Source organism: Homo sapiens, chromosome 2 (assembly GCF_000001405.40).
Source record: "Homo sapiens chromosome 2, GRCh38.p14 Primary Assembly".
NCBI classification, from domain to species: domain Eukaryota; kingdom Metazoa; phylum Chordata; class Mammalia; order Primates; family Hominidae; genus Homo; species Homo sapiens.
The window spans coordinates 175738007-175756476 of NC_000002.12; the positions used below are offsets into that span (position 1 = coordinate 175738007).

General features: G+C 39.3%; 1 long non-coding RNA gene across 1 annotated transcript in view, besides 1 other annotated feature; it reads right to left on the reverse strand.

Annotated features, from left to right (window-relative positions):
• LOC107985962 (uncharacterized) overlaps positions 1-18470 on the reverse strand; it is a 243604-nt gene that overhangs the window by 142572 nt on the left and 82562 nt on the right. The window contains exon 3 of the long non-coding RNA XR_007087312.1: positions 4757-4860. This is a non-coding gene — a long non-coding RNA (uncharacterized LOC107985962). The remainder of the gene's footprint in view (positions 1-4756; positions 4861-18470) is intronic.
• Positions 5849-6472: an enhancer, noted in NCBI's record as "OCT4-NANOG hESC enhancer chr2:176608583-176609206 (GRCh37/hg19 assembly coordinates)". NCBI's record gives its function as "activates a minimal SCP1, AML or CMV promoter by ChIP-STARR-seq in naive H9 embryonic stem cells {active_cell/tissue: H9 hESC(naive)}" and the evidence as "EXISTENCE:reporter gene assay evidence [ECO:0000049][PMID:30033119]".

The following is an 18470-nucleotide window of genomic DNA, read 5'->3' on the forward strand; positions in this document are numbered from 1 at the left end:
TGTTTTAACAATTCATTTATGAGAAAAAAATATGCATAACGGTGGGGGAAGTCCACTGGCAGGAGTTCCCTTATTCATTCAGCATGAATAACAGTGAAGACACAATTACAACTCCACATTTTAGCAACAGCATAAACCAAACCAGGCAGTAAGTGGGCAATTCCCTTCTGTTCCAATACACTCCAATTAACACAAACTGAGGAAGGAATAAATTTAAGCAGGAACAGCTTATCAACATACAATTAGCACTCAATAATTTATCCCTGTAATGCCAGATCAAATAAAAACATTGTGTCATAAATCACTTACTCAAGCAAGCCACCAACCCCTATGCTTAAATGATCTTTTGGTTGATTTGTTTTCTATTCACCACCCTTATGCCACAATAGGTTTTTCTTTCTTTATTTATTTCTGAGACCCAAGACAGCCAGGCAGCTGAAGTGGCATTTTCTACTCTCCAGAGTTCAAGGCTACATTAACCATAAACAGAATTATAAGGAGAACCAGCTCAGACCCCATAGAACATGCATCTACCTCCAGATAGGACAGCCACTGACAGCTGCAAATAAATAGGTGTGTGGTCCTCCAAAATTTCTAAGGAAGGGAATTCCTCATTTAGGCTTTCTAAAGTATTTTCAGATTTCAATCCTTACAGATAAAAGAATTTTCATAAATCTTCCATCCATAGCCTCTGCTTCATTTAAATTAACTGATGCTGGTTCTATGGAAATGAAAACCAGCCTGTCATCATTCTCTCTACAATAACTTCTGTAAATCTACAATCATTAGGTCCCTTGAATGCCTTTTCATTGGTTCTTTCACCACCAAATCTTAGTCCTTTAAGTCTTTTGTGTCGCCCACCATCTCTTTGTAACCAAATGTTCCCCATCCTTTTCCTGCCAACCTTGTTTCCCAGACTTCCTTGCAACTGATTTAACCAAAGAACCCCAGCGGGTTCTTCAATTCTCTTTGCGGTAGGCAGAATAATGCCTCTCCCCAAGGATGTCCACATCCTAATCCCCAAAATTTTTGAATATGTTACCTTATGTCGCAAAAAAGCTTGGCAGATGTGATTAAGCTAATGATCTGGAGATAGGAAGATTATCCGAATTATCCAGGTGGGACCACAGTTATCACAAGCGTCCTTATAAGTGAGGGAGACATGTTCTCACTCATAGGTGGGAATTGAACAATGAGAACACTTGGACACAGGAAGGGGAACATCACACACTAGGGCCTGTTGTGGGGTGGGGGGAGGGGGGAGGGATAGCATTAGGAGATATACCTAATGTAAATAACAAGTTAATGGGTGCAGCACACTAACATGGCACATGTATACATATGTAACAAACCTGCACATTGTGCACATGTACCCTAGAACTTAAAGTATAATATATATATGTATAATATATATATATATTATATATATATATATAAAATAAGTGAGCAAGAGATGCAACAGAATTGGAGGAGATGTGAAGGCAGATGTAGAGAGGAGAGAGGTGTAGACAGGGGCCCAAGAAATGCAGGCACCTCTAGGAGACAGGAAAAGCAAGGTACAGATTCTCCCCTAGGGCCTCCAGAAGGAGTGCAGCCTCCCAACACCGTGATTTTAGCTCAGTGAAAGTGGTTTTGAATTTCTGCCCTCTGAAATGGTAAGACAACACATTATGTTGTTATAAGTCACATAGTTTGTGGTAATTTGTTACAGCAGCAATCAGAAACATTCTCTTTGAGGTGTCTAGCTCTTTATCTCTTCCAAGCTAAAGAGCGTAAGTTTCATTCCAAAACTTAAGTTCTGATGTAGTCTGCACACCTGGAAATATCTAAGGAGCTCAGAAGGCACCAATCACTGAGAATGGAAGGCATTCAATTTCCAGAAACCTGGATGTGAAGATCTTCTACTTAGCCCTCTCTAGCTTTTTTTTTTCGTTCCATTATAGAAATTTTCTAATATATACAAAAGTAGACAGAGTAGCATCAAAATCCACTGTATACCCACCATCTAGCTTCAACAATTATGAACTCATGGGCAATCATGAATCTTCTGTATCCCTATCATTCCCTCTTCCCTGGATTTTTTGAAGCAAATTCCAGATATCATTTCTCCACAAATACTTCAATATCTATCTATAAAAGATAAAAGACAATGGTTCTTTTTAAAACATGACCACAAAACTATTACTGAACCAAAAGAAAATTGATATTAATTTCTCACATAATTAAGTATGCAGCCAGTGTTGAAATTCCCCTAATTGTCTCACAATTTTGTTTGCATTGGGATCCAAAAAGGACCCTCCATTGAAATTATTTAATATGTTTCTCAAATGTCTTTTAATCTATAGGCTCCCCTCCACTACTTCTTATAACTTATGTGTCAAAATCCACATTATATATTACATGTCAAAATCCACAGTCTGAGTTTTATGACTTCATTCCATGATGTTTAACATGTTTGCTGTTCTGTACAATTTGGTAGTTAGTTCTAGTGGATTTATTAGACTCAGGTTCAATTCTTTTCGGCAAGAATATGTCACAAGTGGTGTTGTGTATTTCACCACACTTTCTGGTTCACTCTCTTTTTGTCATGTTAGCAACCATTAATGAACACTGCCTACATCTACTAATTTATTAGGGATTACAGAATAATGAGATTATTTTTTGTAGAAACAGGGTCTTGCTATATTGCCCAGGCTGATCTCAAATCCCTTGCCTCAAGTCATCTTCTCACCTCAGTCTGCCAAAGCACTGGGATTATAGGCATGCGCCACAATGCCCAGCCTCCTGGAATGATGAGATTCAAATTCTGTTTTCCCTTCTTTATTATCTGGAATCCTTTTACAAACAGTAATTTTCCCTAATTGATTATTTGGTTACCATGAGATACAGTTCATGTAAGAAAGATAGAATAAAAGAATGATTCATCCACTGTATTTAACAGTTTTCAAAATAATTAGTTTGGCCAGGTATGGTGGCTTGCACTTATAATCCCAGCAACTTGGAGGCTGAGGCAGGAGGATTGCTTGAGCCCAGGGATTCAAAGCTGCAGTGAGCTATAATTGCACCATTGCACTCCAGCCTGGGCAACAGAGTGAGACCCCATCAAGAAAGAAAGAAAGAAAAAGAGAAAGAGAGAAAGAGAAACAGAGAGAGAGAAAGAAAGAGAGAGAGGGAGAGGAAGGAAGGAAGGAAGGAAGGAAGGAAGGAAGGAAGGAAGGAAGGAAGGAAGGAAGGAAGGAGGGAAGGAGGAGGGGAGGGGAGGGAAGGGAAGGGAAGGGAAGGGAGGAGGGAGGGAGGGAGGGAGGAAAGAAGGAAGAAAATTATAATGTGTTGGCTCCTGGGCATCCTTCAAAGGTGGCTGATAATGTTTCCTATGTTTTTATAATAATAAAAAGATTGATGCAAAAGTAATTGCAGAATTATCTCATGTATTCAAACATATTTTATGTGCTTCAAACCAATACAGTTATTACTCTTACTAATGTTCAAATTGACCCATATTTAACCAGTGGAAACTTCTTCAAGTTAGGTCCTATGTTTTTCTGATACAACATGAATGGTCTTTGATAGCTTTCTTGCTTTGTGATATGGCAAAATGATCCAGTATCATCTTGTATATCTCCTGCCCCCAGCCTGGAATCAACCATTTCCCCCAAGAAGCCCTGGGTCTTGGGAAATTACACTTAGAGATGACAATCTGTATGCTAAAGATGCTCATTGCTAATAGATTGGTCATTGTTTCCAGGCCTCTTTGGTGGAGAGAGCTAGGAAACATATTTTTAAAGATAAAATATTTCATGAGTTTAAACTGTTTATTCCAATTCTAGGTCAGTTCTACGGAGTTTTAAACTTAACCTCATGAATCTTATATCTGTATTTTCTATTTCCCTCTCTGAAAAACATGATACACAGTGACACTAACATGATTATTCACTTGCTTGACCATATAATATTCTAGAAGAGTCCCTGAAAACAATACTAACACTTCTGCCTACAATATTATTACTGAAAACAGTTCAAGGTGCTTTTTTTCCTTGTTTTTGCTTTGTTACGTTTTAGTGCAGTCCTTTGTGTTCTGAGGACGTAAACCACTGGGGCTAGATAGGACTAGAGAGGGCTAGATAGGGCTGCTTTATGCACACCTAGTTACCATTTGCTCTATCTTACATAAGCAATTTTTAAGCTATAATTTATTTTTACTTTACAATTAATAAAATCATTCAATAGATAAAATTTGTCTTTTATCTGTGAAAATGATGGGATTGGCTTTTATAAATTCCACCCTGTCTATAAGTTGGTGTCTACGCTAGGAAATAGAAACCATTTCATTTCAAATGGGAGGTAAGGATTTAATATAGAGAATTGATTACAAAACATATCAGAGGAACTGGAAGTGCAAATAAGAAAAGTTTAGCCAAAACTTTATAACTGCAAGAAAATGCTAAGACTCGAAAAGTGAAAGGGGAAAGTTGTGTTACTCAGAGCCCATGAGCTCACTCATGCCACAGAATGCCGTGGCTGCTGAGTGAAAACCCACAAGAATGCACATTCTCATTGACGTTGCTGCCTAAAGCACAACCACATCTGCTTCCCTCCATCTTCTAATCTCACCTGAGTGCCTCTTATTGGTACAACCAACACAACTTAGCAAGAAATGGGGTCTGAGTCATGTAGGAAGCAGGTTTCTAATCCCAGAAATAGGAGAGAATTAAAAGGCAGTAAGGAGCAGAGTATCAACCAACAACATGCAGCTCACCTATCCAGAGGTCAACACTTAGATACACTTTTCAGTAGAAGCAATGGGCTCGCCTGGTTCCTCTCAAGATCAATGGCTCAGGACCAAGATTAAGGGCATAATCTCTGGTAAACACATGGAAAAAAGACAACTTATGTGAACGGATCTAAAACAATGCATTGGCCTTGCTAATATCAAACTATACTCATGTTCTCTTCTATTCTCCATCCTCCAGCCCCTAAATGCCGGCAAAGCAAGGGTCATATGTTAGATATATGGCTGTCTAGGCTCAGAGAAGCTATAATTTGCTTTTGAAATTTATTCTTTTTAGTTCTTTCATGAGGAATAATTTGCCAATTAAATAGGACCACAGCCAAAGTAGAAACAGAGACATACACTGAAATCTGTTAGCATCAACTGTTACAGTCATTCTTCTCTAGATGACATATTGTTGCTATATATAGTTTAGATATGAGTAATGAGAATGTGATTGCAAGCCAATATTTAGGGAAAAGCTAAGCTCATCACGACTGCTACTCTGATGGAATGTCTTGGTGATGGATTTAGTCTTATACTTTCTCAATTTATTTTTCTCTGGGATGCTTTCCTATTTAGGGTATTAAATGACTTACATTTCATGGACAGAGAAGGACACTTATTAATAGTGAAATCTTGGGCAAGTTATTTTATCTTTCCAAGCTTCCTCATCTATGAAATGGGGATAATAATAGTATCTACCTCACACAGTTATTTATGAGGATTAAATGAAACAATGCCTATAAAGAATTTGGAATAGGACCTGACATATAGTAACTACTTAATAAAGTGGGCTGTTCTTATTCTTGCTAGAGAAATGCCAAGAAACAAATGGTCATTTTAATTGTCAGCTAAAAGTAATCTTACTTGAACATTTCTTCTTATAAATTATAGATAATACTCAATCCAGGAGAAGTTAATGATGCCAGTAAAAGAGTCACTAGAAGTAGGAAGAAAATTTGATATAAATAAAGGGTTAAGGCAAATATAGAGGCCTTCATGCTCTAGAGTCAAAGAATTTCTGCTCCTCCGAGACCAATAAGGAGGATAATCATGAATTTAAGTAACTTTAAGTGGGAGAAAGTAACCTAAGTCACATTTAATGGGAGGATCATTCTGAGGAATATGAGAGTTGTGGGAAACTGCTTCTCATAATCGTGATAATTCACATGAGCAGGCCATCTGCTTTAAATTGGAGATGAAAAATTGGAGAAGTATTGGGAAAGAGGGGGACAGGTAATATACCCGGCATGGATCAAAGGAGAGAGAGCCAAGAGGAGAGAGAAAGACAGAGGGAATCATTTGTTAGGGAAGCCAGAGAGAAACTTCCTTCTACTGAGCTGGAGAAACCCGTGTTCCCCTCGTTTAGCATCAGAATGTCCTGCTGTGCTATCAAATGTTGTTGAAGTTGAAGGTCAGGCTTCGTGGAAAGAATGATGCAAATGTTCACATTCCCTAGAAAGAAATGTAAATTCACAGCGGAACACGTAGCTAAAGGTGATAACATCTCACCACAAGATATTACTCTGTGGTGCAAACCTTACTGCTGCTTTGTGATTCAAGATAGTTATGAGAGTTAGAGAAGTACGTTGAGATGACGTTCCTTCCATTATAGTCACAAACTGACACACAAACACACACATTTATATATTTATATTCAGACACACACACACACACAAAATTATCATAAATGTAACTACTCCACATGCAAACTAACACAAATATATTGCATCCTGGCAACTCAAATCAGCAATTGTCATCAGTAACATGATTTTCTGAAATAAATAATTCTTGACACATTTCCAGACAAAAAGGACAATCTCTCCTTCATTAAATGGCAGTTGCATTCCTGGAAGTTTCAGGGACCATTAAAATCAAGCAAAACTAATTTGTACATATATGTTAAATGGAATTAGATTCAAAGTTGAGATAATTGTAAATAGATCTTGTGAGACAGTCAAAATTTTTGTGGTTCATGGCACAAATCTTCAATATCTAGCATCCCTGGCCCCTGTTCACAAATGTCAGTAGTGTTCCTTGATTATTGTATCAATTAAAATTGGGCCCCATCTCTAAAATTTCCCTGCCCCGGCCCCGGAAGCAGCACAGCCATTGTTGAGAAGTGCTGCTATATCCTGTCCATGCTCTTGAAGGGAAGCCAGCAATACCCTAGGTGAATGAATACACTATTTTGAGGAACTATCTCCATAGCACAAAATGTAGGAATATGCATTTACTGTGGTGGTGCTCCTCACAGGGCAACAAGTGTTATAGACTCAGCCAAAGAGGCACTGAATGACCCTAGAGCGTCTACACCTAGAGAGATGTACACACACCTGCCCCTTGGCCACGTCTGACCACCCATGACAAGGCTGCAGGCAGCATGCCATAAACCTGTAGCTGACATCCATTCTACTCCTGATTAACAGACCTGGATATCCATCTGCTCACCTACATGTCCCACAGACAATACATTGGCAACAATGTCTACTTTCCTGTGGGAAATGCTGCCTTGGAAGACCACAAACAGGGCCATCCTTATAATTTCTCAAAATTCCATTCACCTGTATGTGTGGAGTATCTAACAGAAAGGCAGCCAGCCCTGAGGACCCACTGGTCCTATCTGGGCTCTGCTCAAGCTAGGTGGAGTATAGTAAGTGTTTATTAAAGGAAGCCATGAGGGACAGTTCTAGTTACACTGAGTACAGGAACTCTAATGACCCTGATGGTTCCCGAGGCTGAATCTGGAGACTTGTCCTGGATTCCGGGAAGTGCTGGAGGCCTCCATAAAAAGAGTTCTGTCATGATCGTGACTCTACTGCAACTCCACTCTGCTACCAACAGGCCACATCCCCCTGTGGCGCTAAGTTCAAATTCCAAGGGAGAAATGTTATTGGCCTGGCTTATCTTCCTCATTCAGGCTTCAAGTTATGGCTCATCCATTAACTCTGGGATAGGCCCTTTCCCTCACCTCAGTGTGCACCATCACAGACAGAGTTAAGAGCAGGGACACCTGGTCCACTGCCCACTCAGCAGAGGCAATGGCAGGAGTAGATTCTCTGCAAAAGTAGAATGACAGAGACCACCCTAAAATGGCTGATATACCTGCCATCCAGAAGACTAAGTGAGCTTTCCAAATAGTGGCAAGACAAATGCTTCTCAGGTCTCTAAGAGAGAAGAGAAAGATGGAAGAAAGAGTCAGTGCAGTGTAAGGATGTATTTATCAACCATGCTGACTTCCTCTAAGTTTCATAGGCTAGTAGCCTTGAACCACTGGACAAATATGTAACTTTCCCAGGAGATAGGGAATCTGTATTCTTATACCCTATGACATCATAGGTAAGCAGTTTAAGTGTGACCAGAAATCCGTAATTTAAATGTTATGAACTTCTGTTGTCCCCTTTCTTAATGGAGAAAAATTCTCCATACCTTTCAGAAAGTTGGTGCAGTAAGTAGGATCCAGCTTTTCTGAGAAGTCAGACAGGAGGTGCTGGATGTATTTTAATAATGCTAACCCTAGAGAGGTTTATGAGTAGTTTTCAAGAGTCAGTACAATTTCCAACCCTGGAAATTTTGAATACTTTTGTATATTTTTAGAGCAGCAGTTCTCAAACGAGGGTCAATGTTGCCCCCCTCCCCCCAACACCCCCAGGGGACATTTGACAGTGGCTAAAGACATTTGTGGTTCTCACAACTGGGGGTTGGGAGAGTTGGCACTGATATCTCTTCGGCAGAGGCCAGCAGCACTGCGAAACATCCTACAATGCACAGGACAGCCCCCACAACAAAGAATTACCAGCCCAAAATGTCAATAGCTCAAGGGTGAGAAACTATTCTAGGGTGAGAGTCCATAGCAAGCATTATTCACATTCACAAAGGGCCCATGACCTAAATAAATTTAGGATCCCCGGCTCTAGACTGGCAAAAGGCCACAGAAGGCTCCACTTAGGCCTCTCACTTCATTCCTGGCTCTTTCGCCTGCACCCTAGGCAAGCCACCCAATCTCCTCTCTTCACATACCCCTAGCTCTACCACTGCACTCACCTTGCAGAAAAGAAAATCCCTGTCCAAACGCCAACTCACCTTTGAACAAACCAACTCTCTATCTGCTTCTCAATTTCCTGGGCCAGTAAAGGCTTTTGACACCCTCACAACCTCAACCTATCTTAACACATACATATCAAGCTGTAGAGTCCTTCTCAAGCCCAGCTGGCTACTCCATGATTCATGCTCGGCCAATGACTATTTCTCTGCTGCCACTAATCAACTCTCTTTTTGCTCTACCTGCTGCTAGATTGCTCCTCCATTTCTATCTCCTTCTTCCGCTCCGCATACAGACAAATCAGGCTTTCTAAAAGGAATGACAAAGCAACAAAGCATCATTTCCCCACTAAACAAATCGGAGCTCTGCCCAGAGAGAGGCAGCTGAGCTGGGATGCATTAGGGACTGCCATGTTGGCACTACCGGAGGTTCATTCTATGCAGTAACTGAGCTCAAAGGCTTCTCTGTGAGATGTACTTCAGTTCTCTGCATGGAAGGGAGCCCTCCGTGTGGTTTAAAATGCCTCCACAAAGTACAAATAAGCACACTAAGCTACGCAGTAAAACACAGCCTAACATTACCCAACGTCCACCATTATATGCTGTTAAGTATTTAATTAAAGAGTCATATGAAGCAAACTGTTATATACACAATAAAGAGGAAAAAAAGAAAAAACAAAACACAGGTGTGGAACAGCCTGGTTGTAAGTACAATTTTCATTTGCTTTTACCCAGGGGCATTTGGAGAAAAGATTGTTTTGCCAAATATTTATCCATTTTTTCATTTTGTTGAAACATGTCTTTTCCAGAAAGAAAAAGGCATTTAACAAGTATTAAAAACATGTGTTGAAACCATTTAGAAAGTTTAATTTTCTTTAAAAATGGTTTCCGGAGCTGGGGTCTTCTCCAAGTTTTTGGAGTTGCATTTTCACCTGATCGTATGTCAAGTCTGACCTGAGTAACCCTACGTGGGCCTCTGTCAATCACATGGAGTTTTCCTTGGACCACCACCAACCTCCAACCCGCCCCCAGCTGAGTTAATCCACCATCCGCTGGTATCTGCTGCAATAGAAAAGCTAATACTAACCAAAGACCTGACACAGTTGTTTGATATGAAGGATTTGGTTTTCTGGGAGCTTGTTTCCTATCATTGTGGAGGTTATACAGCAAATTTCTGGAGGAAGGCCAGGCAGTTTTGAATACTGTAGTTCCAAGTGGCTTAGTCCCATAAACATAATCAAAGTCTGTATTAAGTTTATACCTTGCAGGGTAATAACAAATGATACAAAATGTAGTAAAAGATGCTGGACACAGCCGAGAAAAGTTAATGAAATATGAATGAAAGCAAACAACTGCCCCATCTATTGTTCCAAACTGGGCCCCATACTCCTAATGGGAACTTGAGCTGAATGAAAGGAGGGTGCCAAGCATTGAGGTCAAGAAAGAACTTGAGTGCAATAGCTGGAACTACTTCTTGTGGTTTTGACATGCCCGAACAGCATTTTGGGAGCAGATAAACTAAGCTACACCTGACCTTGCAGCTGGCAGCATCTGAGGGTGAAAGGTTAAAGATAAATTGTTCTTTAACAATTTCTCCGTGGTATAATATTTAAAGAAAAGCAAAATGGAATGGCACTCTTTCCCTGATACTTTCCAGCTTCTTTATTCAGAACAAATAAAAATAGTGGACTTGGTGCTAACTAAACCATACCTTGTTTTCCTTATTTTATTTTATGAGACAGGATCTCACTGTGTTACCCAGGTTGGAGTGCAGTGGCCCCATCATAGCTCACTGCAACCTCTGCCTCCTGGGCTCAAGCAATTCTCCCACCTCAGCCTCCCTGTAGATGGGACTACAGGTGTGCATCACCATGGCCAGCTAATTTTTTAATTTTTTTGTAAAGGCAGGGGTCTCCCTATGCTACAAAGGCTGGTCTAGAACTGATGGCTTCAAGCAATCCTCCTGCCTCAGCCTCCCAAAGTGCTGGGATTACAGGCATGAGCTACTGTGCCTGACTAGTTTTCTTTAAAGAGATGGATTTTTGAGCATGATGTTTCTCTTTTCTCTGAGATGTGTCAGCAGCCAATTCTGCAGTAATGGCATGCTCTAAGAACAGCTATCTTCATCATCCATGCCATGAAATAGACTTGTAGCCTTGTAGCCATTCCAGCCTTGAACAACAGCCTGAACAACAAGACTCTTTTCTTTTGAGGACATGAACACCTATTTCCACTACAATAATATCAAGATCCTCTCAACTTTCCCCCAAATTTTTTTCCCAGAGAAAGTGAGGAGTCTTGCAGGAGGAAAGTACCTTTTTCTGAATATAATATGGCTGCATTAAGAGATTCATCTTGTTAAACAGGCCTACAGAATGTATTCAAGAGAAATTCCTCAAAAGATGTAGAAATTCAAGACTTTAATTATGACTTAGCATTCACTTTCACAGATATTGCTGAACTAGAAGCACAGCAATTATTGTTTTTTGTTTTGTTTTGTTTTTTTTTGTTGTTGTTTTTTTTAAGACAGTGTCTCGCTCTCTCACCAGGCTGGAGTGCAGTGGTGTGATCTTGGCTCACTGCAACTTCTGACTCCCTGGTTCAAACAATTCTCCTGCCTCAGCCTCCTGAGTAGCTGGGATTACAGGCATGTGCCACCACGCCCAGCTCATTTTTGTATTTTTAATAGAGACGGGGTTTCACCATGTTGGCCAGGATGGTCTCTATCTCCTGACCTTGGTGTTCTGCCCGCCTTGGCCTCCCAAAGCAATTATGTTTTGCTACTGTTGAAGTTGGCCAAAGATTTGATCACCTGAAATTTATTTTAACCACCAGTATATGTCTTCTTTGTTGTTACCAACTACCTGGAGAGATTCTGATTCAATATATAAATATACAGGTTACAAATGTCATTATATATTGTTAAAATAGCTTTAGTGACTAGGAGTACAAAAGTAACACAGGTAGAAATCAATGAGGGGATTAGTTTGGCCATGGCATATTTGGAGCCCCAGTCTTCATCTAGCCCAGCAATCCTACCTCCAGTAATTACACCAATACGAGGCTTTTGTCATTTCACATTTTTGCACCTAAAGTGTGTGAAAGCAGTTCAGTTCCAAATGACATACAATTTTACGTTCAAAAGCTCATTTGGACCCATGAGTCCAAACCAAACCAGCAATAGTCCTCAGCTACAGGAGGGGAATAAACAAAGCAGATCCTTAAAGACATGCTGATGGCAAATTTATTATTATTTTTAAATTTGGACATGCATTTCATACATAATTCAAAAGTTCTTTAGTAATAGATATTTTTTTAAAGTAGCACCATCAAAATCAAGCCACCAAAAATTAGAGGGAGAGAGCACTAAATTTTTTTAAGGAGACAAAGATATATCATGAAGACTAAAGAAGCATATGAATCTCAAAGTCCTTAGAGAAAAAAACAGAAACATGTAAGCAGTGCAAAAATATAAGATAAGAAGTACCACTCGGGTAGGAGAGAAGATGTATTTTAAGTTGAGCAAAGGTCTGATTGTACTTTTGAAGTACTGAGAGCGGGAAAGGAGGGAAAGAGCAAATAAAACCTCGGGATTGCTCAACGAGAGTAACAAAGGACAATGGAGTAAAGAAACATGCAATTGGTATTTATATTTTTTGTTAAAGTGGCCAAGGGCCTAGAGGAGTTTCTGTGTGATTATAAACAAAAAAATATCAGGTTTCCTTATATAGAAACTCAAAGACTGGGATAGAAGTGAGGAGAAAAAACAAAACCAAAGACTAAAACCCAAAAACATAGAGACAGTGTGAATACTGTTTTACCAAATCCTAGCAACTCTTGGAACTTTATGGAAAAAGACAAAGAAAATAAAGGAACTCATTTTTCTGAGAACAATTGTGTCTGTGCACTACATATGCTATAGTTTGGATGTTTGTCCCTGCCCAAATCTCAAGAAGAGTTGTAGTCTCCAGTGCTGGAGGTGGGGGCTGGTGGGAGGTGTTTGGATCATGGGGGCGGATCCCTCATAGTTTGGTGCGATCTTCATGATAGTGAGTTCTTGCAAGATCTGGTCATTTAAAAGTATGTGGCACCTCCCCCTTCTCTCTCTCTTTCTCTGTCTCTCTGGCACTTGCTCCTGCTTTCACCATGTGATGTGCCTGCTCTCCCTTCACCTTCTGCCAGGATTGTAAGCTTCCTGAGGGCTCCCTAGAACGAGATAGATGCCAGCACCATGCTTCCTGTACAGCCTGAAGAATCATGAGCCAATTAAACCTGTTTTCTTTATAAATTACCCAGTCTCGGGTATTTATAGCAAGGCAAAAATGGCCTAATACAACAAATAATATATGTATAAATATATATTCCCTAAATACATTTTTAGAATTTAAGATTTAAGTTGCTAAGTGAGAGTTTATTGGAGAAAACCAGAGTTGTTCTAAGCATACTACTATTGGTCGTGGCTAACCTCCAAAATGCTGCTTAGATGCTATGATTAGATTTGATGGAACAAACTTATTCCTAACCTAATGTGTGAGCTTATAAAAAGTAATGAAAGAATGAAAGCACCTCATCGATCAATATTGGTCTTTCACCCACAAAGAAATATATTAAAGCTTACTTTTCCTCAAGCTACAAAGCAAGCTACCATTGAGGAAAACTGAATATACAGTCTTTGAACTTGACATGATTTACATTCAGTGCATAAAACAGAAAATAGTGGGCATTATATTAAAGCTTTATCATGTTTCTATTAGGAAGACCAACAGACATGGAAACCAGATGCCTTCAAAAAACAAAACAAAACTCTAAAGTGATTCCATCAACAGAAAAATGGCCCTGTCTCCTTCCCTCAAGCCTGCTTTTCTATTTCAGAATCATTTGCTCAAATATTCTTGCCCTTGCCCATTATCAAGCAATAAGCTATCTTTGAGTCTGGTTTTTGGTCCATACCACCAATCCAGACCACATGGGAATCAGGAAGAGCTAGAGATTAGCAGATGAAGGGCCATCTGGAATAAAGTTCTGAGGATATTTCCAAGCCACAGCACTGAGGACCAACTGGCAGAATAGTCTTGGCCTCAGACAAAGAAACCACCTGGCAAGTGTAGGTGGGATCCAGAGAAAAAACTGAGGGTGGTAGAATTATTCACTAGGAAATAACGTGCCCTCTGGAGATTTGTTTCAGCTGCACTATGTAGGAGGGTAGGTCTTGCAGGTTAGAAAACTGCCCTAAAAATAGAACTGGTGCAGGAGAAAACTTTGAGAAGGGTCATAAGGAGAGGGCACACTTAGAGTGGGCATGGGGACTTCTGGGGTATTCTTTTGCTAGTGCCTCATTTTCCCAAGATGCTGTGAGATTCAAGAGGCAATGAGAATGTCAATAATGATCAACAACATGACCAGGCCAGGAAGTCACCCTGAGAATAGGCAGGGTGCCCATGATGAAGGGGCTGGGAGTGCAGGATGAAGGGGATACATGCACTGAAAGCTCTGTGTGAAGCATGAGCAGAATTTCATTCCAGGCTTTTTCAATAGGCTGGGGAGAGGTTTTAATGCACTGACAGTCAAGATAACTTCTTAAGCATTGTTTTGAGATTCCTCTAACTGCCATCTAAAAGTCAAAAATTAGGAATTCTCTTCTTTCTCATGGAGTACATGAAGTTATGAAACTTCTTTTCTCTCTCTGCAGCTTGCCCATTTTCTTTCATAGGCCATTCCAAATCCATATCCTTTACTTCAGGGTACATTTTCTTCTCTGCTCCTTAGATCTTTCTATTCTTTCCTCTACTTCCCATTGCCATCCCTTCAACATCACCACTACTAAGAAACCATGGAATCTAAGCTATTGGCATTGGGTTGCCTGTCTTTACAGTAAAATGGGATCCACGCACTTCAGCCATGGTTTAGACACCTGTAGAAAACCATGGGGGAGAAAATGAAATGGTGATGTGGGTTACATGGGTAGATCCATTTGTCCAAATTATTAAGATCTTTTTATGTACATTAAATTTCTCTCAAAAGCTTAAAAATGATTGAGTAGGGGGTAGGGAATGGGTGTAGATAAATATAAAGCAAGAATAATAATTATTGAAACTGAGTGATTGGTACACAGGAATTCATTTTACTATTCTGTTTACTTTGTGTATGTTTTAAATTTTACATAACAAAAGATGAAATGGTGATTCTTTCCTATGTACTACATCACAGCCATGAATATCTATATATTCATTTTTATATAATCGTATCTATTCATATACATTCATACATATACAGTTGCTCCTTGAACAACATGGATTTGAACTGCATGGGTCTATCTCTCATGCCTCCCCTGCCACTTCCTCCACGTCTTCCACCTCTGCCACCCCTGAGACAGCAAGACCAACCCTTCTTCTTCTTTCTCCTCTTCAGCCTACTTAACATGAAGTTGACAAAGATGAAGACCTTTATGATAAACCATTTCCATCTAATAGATAGTAATATATTTTCTCTTCCTTATGATTTTCCTAAAATATTTTCTTTTCTCCAGCTTACTTTATTGTAAGAATACAGTATATAATACATATAACATACAAAATATGTGTTAATTGACTATTTATGTTATTGGTAAGGCTTTCAGTCAACAGTAGGCAATTAGTAGTTAAGTTTTGGAGAGGTCTCAAGTTATATGAAGATTTTTTACTGCACAGGAGTTTGTATTAGTCAGTTTTCACACTGCTATAAAGAACTACTGAAAACTGGGTAATTTATTTTTTTTAAAAAAGGTTTAATTGACTCACAGTTCTGCATGGATGGGGAGGCCTCAGGAAAATTACAATCATGGTGGAAGGAGAAGGAGAAGCAAGTACCTTCTTCACAAGGCAGCAAGAGAGACAGCAAGCGAAGTGTCATATTTGAAAACCATCAGCTTTCATGAGAACTCACTCATTATCAAGAGAACAGCATTGGGAAAACTGCCCCCATGATCCAATCACCTCCCACCAGGTCTGTCCCCTGACACATGGGAATTACAATTTGAGATGAGATTTGGGTGGGGACACAGAGCCAAACCATATCAGGGTCAACATCCTTAAACCCTGTGTTATTCAAAGGTCAACTGTATTCACACACACACACACACACACACACACACACACACACATATTCCTGAGAAGAGACACTCGTTTCAGTACCATCTGGTCCTCATTTTATCACATGTGGTTCACTATTCACTCAGTGAGGAAGAGAGGGCTTTGACATCTGTCAGCCTATCCAACATTTGCATTGACTTAAGCATTTGGTTATGAAGTATTTTAGCTTTTTCTGGCCTCCAGAATGGGAGCTGGGTGACTGGAACACATCTCCTCTGCACTGAGTTTTGCAATAACACCACTTTATGTAATCCTCTCTATCCCTTGCCACCATCCAAAACACTCATCTGCGCTCCATTACTCAGGATGAAAATGGAGTCTGCAATGTGATATCTCAGGGAACCACCAGGTATGTGACCAAACACTTTCCCCTAAAATTATCACTCTGACTGACAGTGCTATTAGAGACACTGTTCTCATTCTTGCCTGGTAGTTTATTTCCTTTTCACTGGTACGTTCTTAAATTACCAAAATATTTATAATCTATGGTTTTCACTAACTCTCTAGCGTTTATTTCATCACCTCAACATGGGTTACTTCCTTCCCATCCTGTTTTACCTTTCTCAGTTTTGCTGCCTTTTCCTTAACATAATCTCCTACATTATCTGGATTTATCTCTATATCAAATGAATTTATTCCATTAGAAAAGAAAGGCCACATCCTAGAACTCTTTGAAAATAGTCTGTTCATAAACCACTCACTAAACATTTCAGTGTAAGACAAAATACTTAATGATTTAGACAAATGAAGGATAGCTTAGTATGAATTATGGAATATTTAAAAAGAAATATCCTATAAAATAAAAAACTATTACACTCAGTAAAGGAGAGAGGCTTACAAATGACTGGGAGTGGAATGCTTGCAGACTTATTTTGATGAATAGAGAATAATGTATTTTAATTAGCATACTAATAACTTTGTGAGTAAATTTTTGCTTCTCAAGTACGGGGAACAGCATGCCTTCCTAATGAGGTTGATCTGCAGACCAACTTCCATTATTTATCTGCTTCATAGATACTTTTTCTTTCTTTAAATACAAGACAAATCAGGAAGATCTCTGCCTCCATTTTTATAAATTTTGAGTTAGTGGAGTCTAAATTCATGAAATTCAACTACCATATGGTATCATACAATAAATCAAGAGTTTTTCAACAACTGTAACCTGGCTTAGACTTTTCTGAAGCAATCTACAGCTCTTCATACTGTTTTCTACACGTAAGCGAGATGGTAATGTTCACAAAGTAATCCAGCATTGATGCAGATGGTAATTGCAAAATGTAGAAAAGAAAAATTCTGAATTCACTAAAACTAGGTACAAAGAACATGATAGCACATGGCTGATACACAGCAGCTGGGATTGACACACATTGGGCCAGGTGGAATCACCTCCCTCCACACACCCTTTATCTCAGGTTTCCTGGTGACCAGTCCCCTTCTGCTTTCCTTCTCATCCACATGACTCCTGCAAACTTCAGCCTTCATGCTGGGTGATCCCAGGCCCAGCCTCTTACTTCCTGCACTTTCCTTTCAGCTAGAAATATTTCAGCTTTTGTCTTGCCTTTCTGCCAAAGTGTTTTTGCTTATTTGTTTTTTAACAATTGTCAAAATCACTAAACTTTAATATTGATTCATTACTATTATTTAATCTATAGTTCGTATTCAAGTTTTATCAACTATCCTAAAAATGTCCTTTATAACTTTTTTTTCTTGGTTCACAGTTCAATGGAGGATCATATATTGCATTTTTTAGCATATTTTTATTATGGTAAAATACACATAACATAAATTTACCATTTTAACTATTTTTAAGTGTTCATTTCAGTGGCATTAAGCACATTCACACTGTGATGCAATCATCACCACCAAAGTAGTTTAAAGAGTCTTTATCACTGGGACTCAGGGTAGGTCTGAGTCCTTGGCCAGAGCTGTGGGCTTTGAACCCAGTCAGAAAAAGGACCTTAACTAAGCTATGACTAACCCGGCTCAAATAAAACAGTACAGTAATTTCTCAGTGTCAATGAGGGATTGGCTCCAGGAGTTCCCTCAGATACCAAAATCTGAGGATGCACAAGGCCCTGAAATGAAATGGTGTAGAATTTGCATGTAACCTAAGCATATACTCTCATATCATACATGTTCACTACAGACTTTTTTCTGAATATTTTTGAACAGAGCTTACTTGAAACCACGGATGTGGAACCCACAGAGACAGAGGGCTGACTGTATTTAAAATGAGGCAAAGTGCAAATGTCCTTGATGCACTAAAACAGGCATTCTTCCATACCCAGCTAACACAAAGAATAATGGTTACACCATAAATTTAACACTCCAGGCCAGTCCTCAGCACATATGTAGGTATTTCATTAGTAAAAGTGTACCAAAAGTCGAGGTTAACATGAACTTGACGTTGAAGATCAAAAGAAGAGGAGGGAAATATCTGAAATCCCCAGAGCATTTTTTTTTTTCTCACTGAAGCTCCTCTTTATTAGCTGCAAGTAAATTTTCCACATTGTGAATTTTCAGAGACAAAT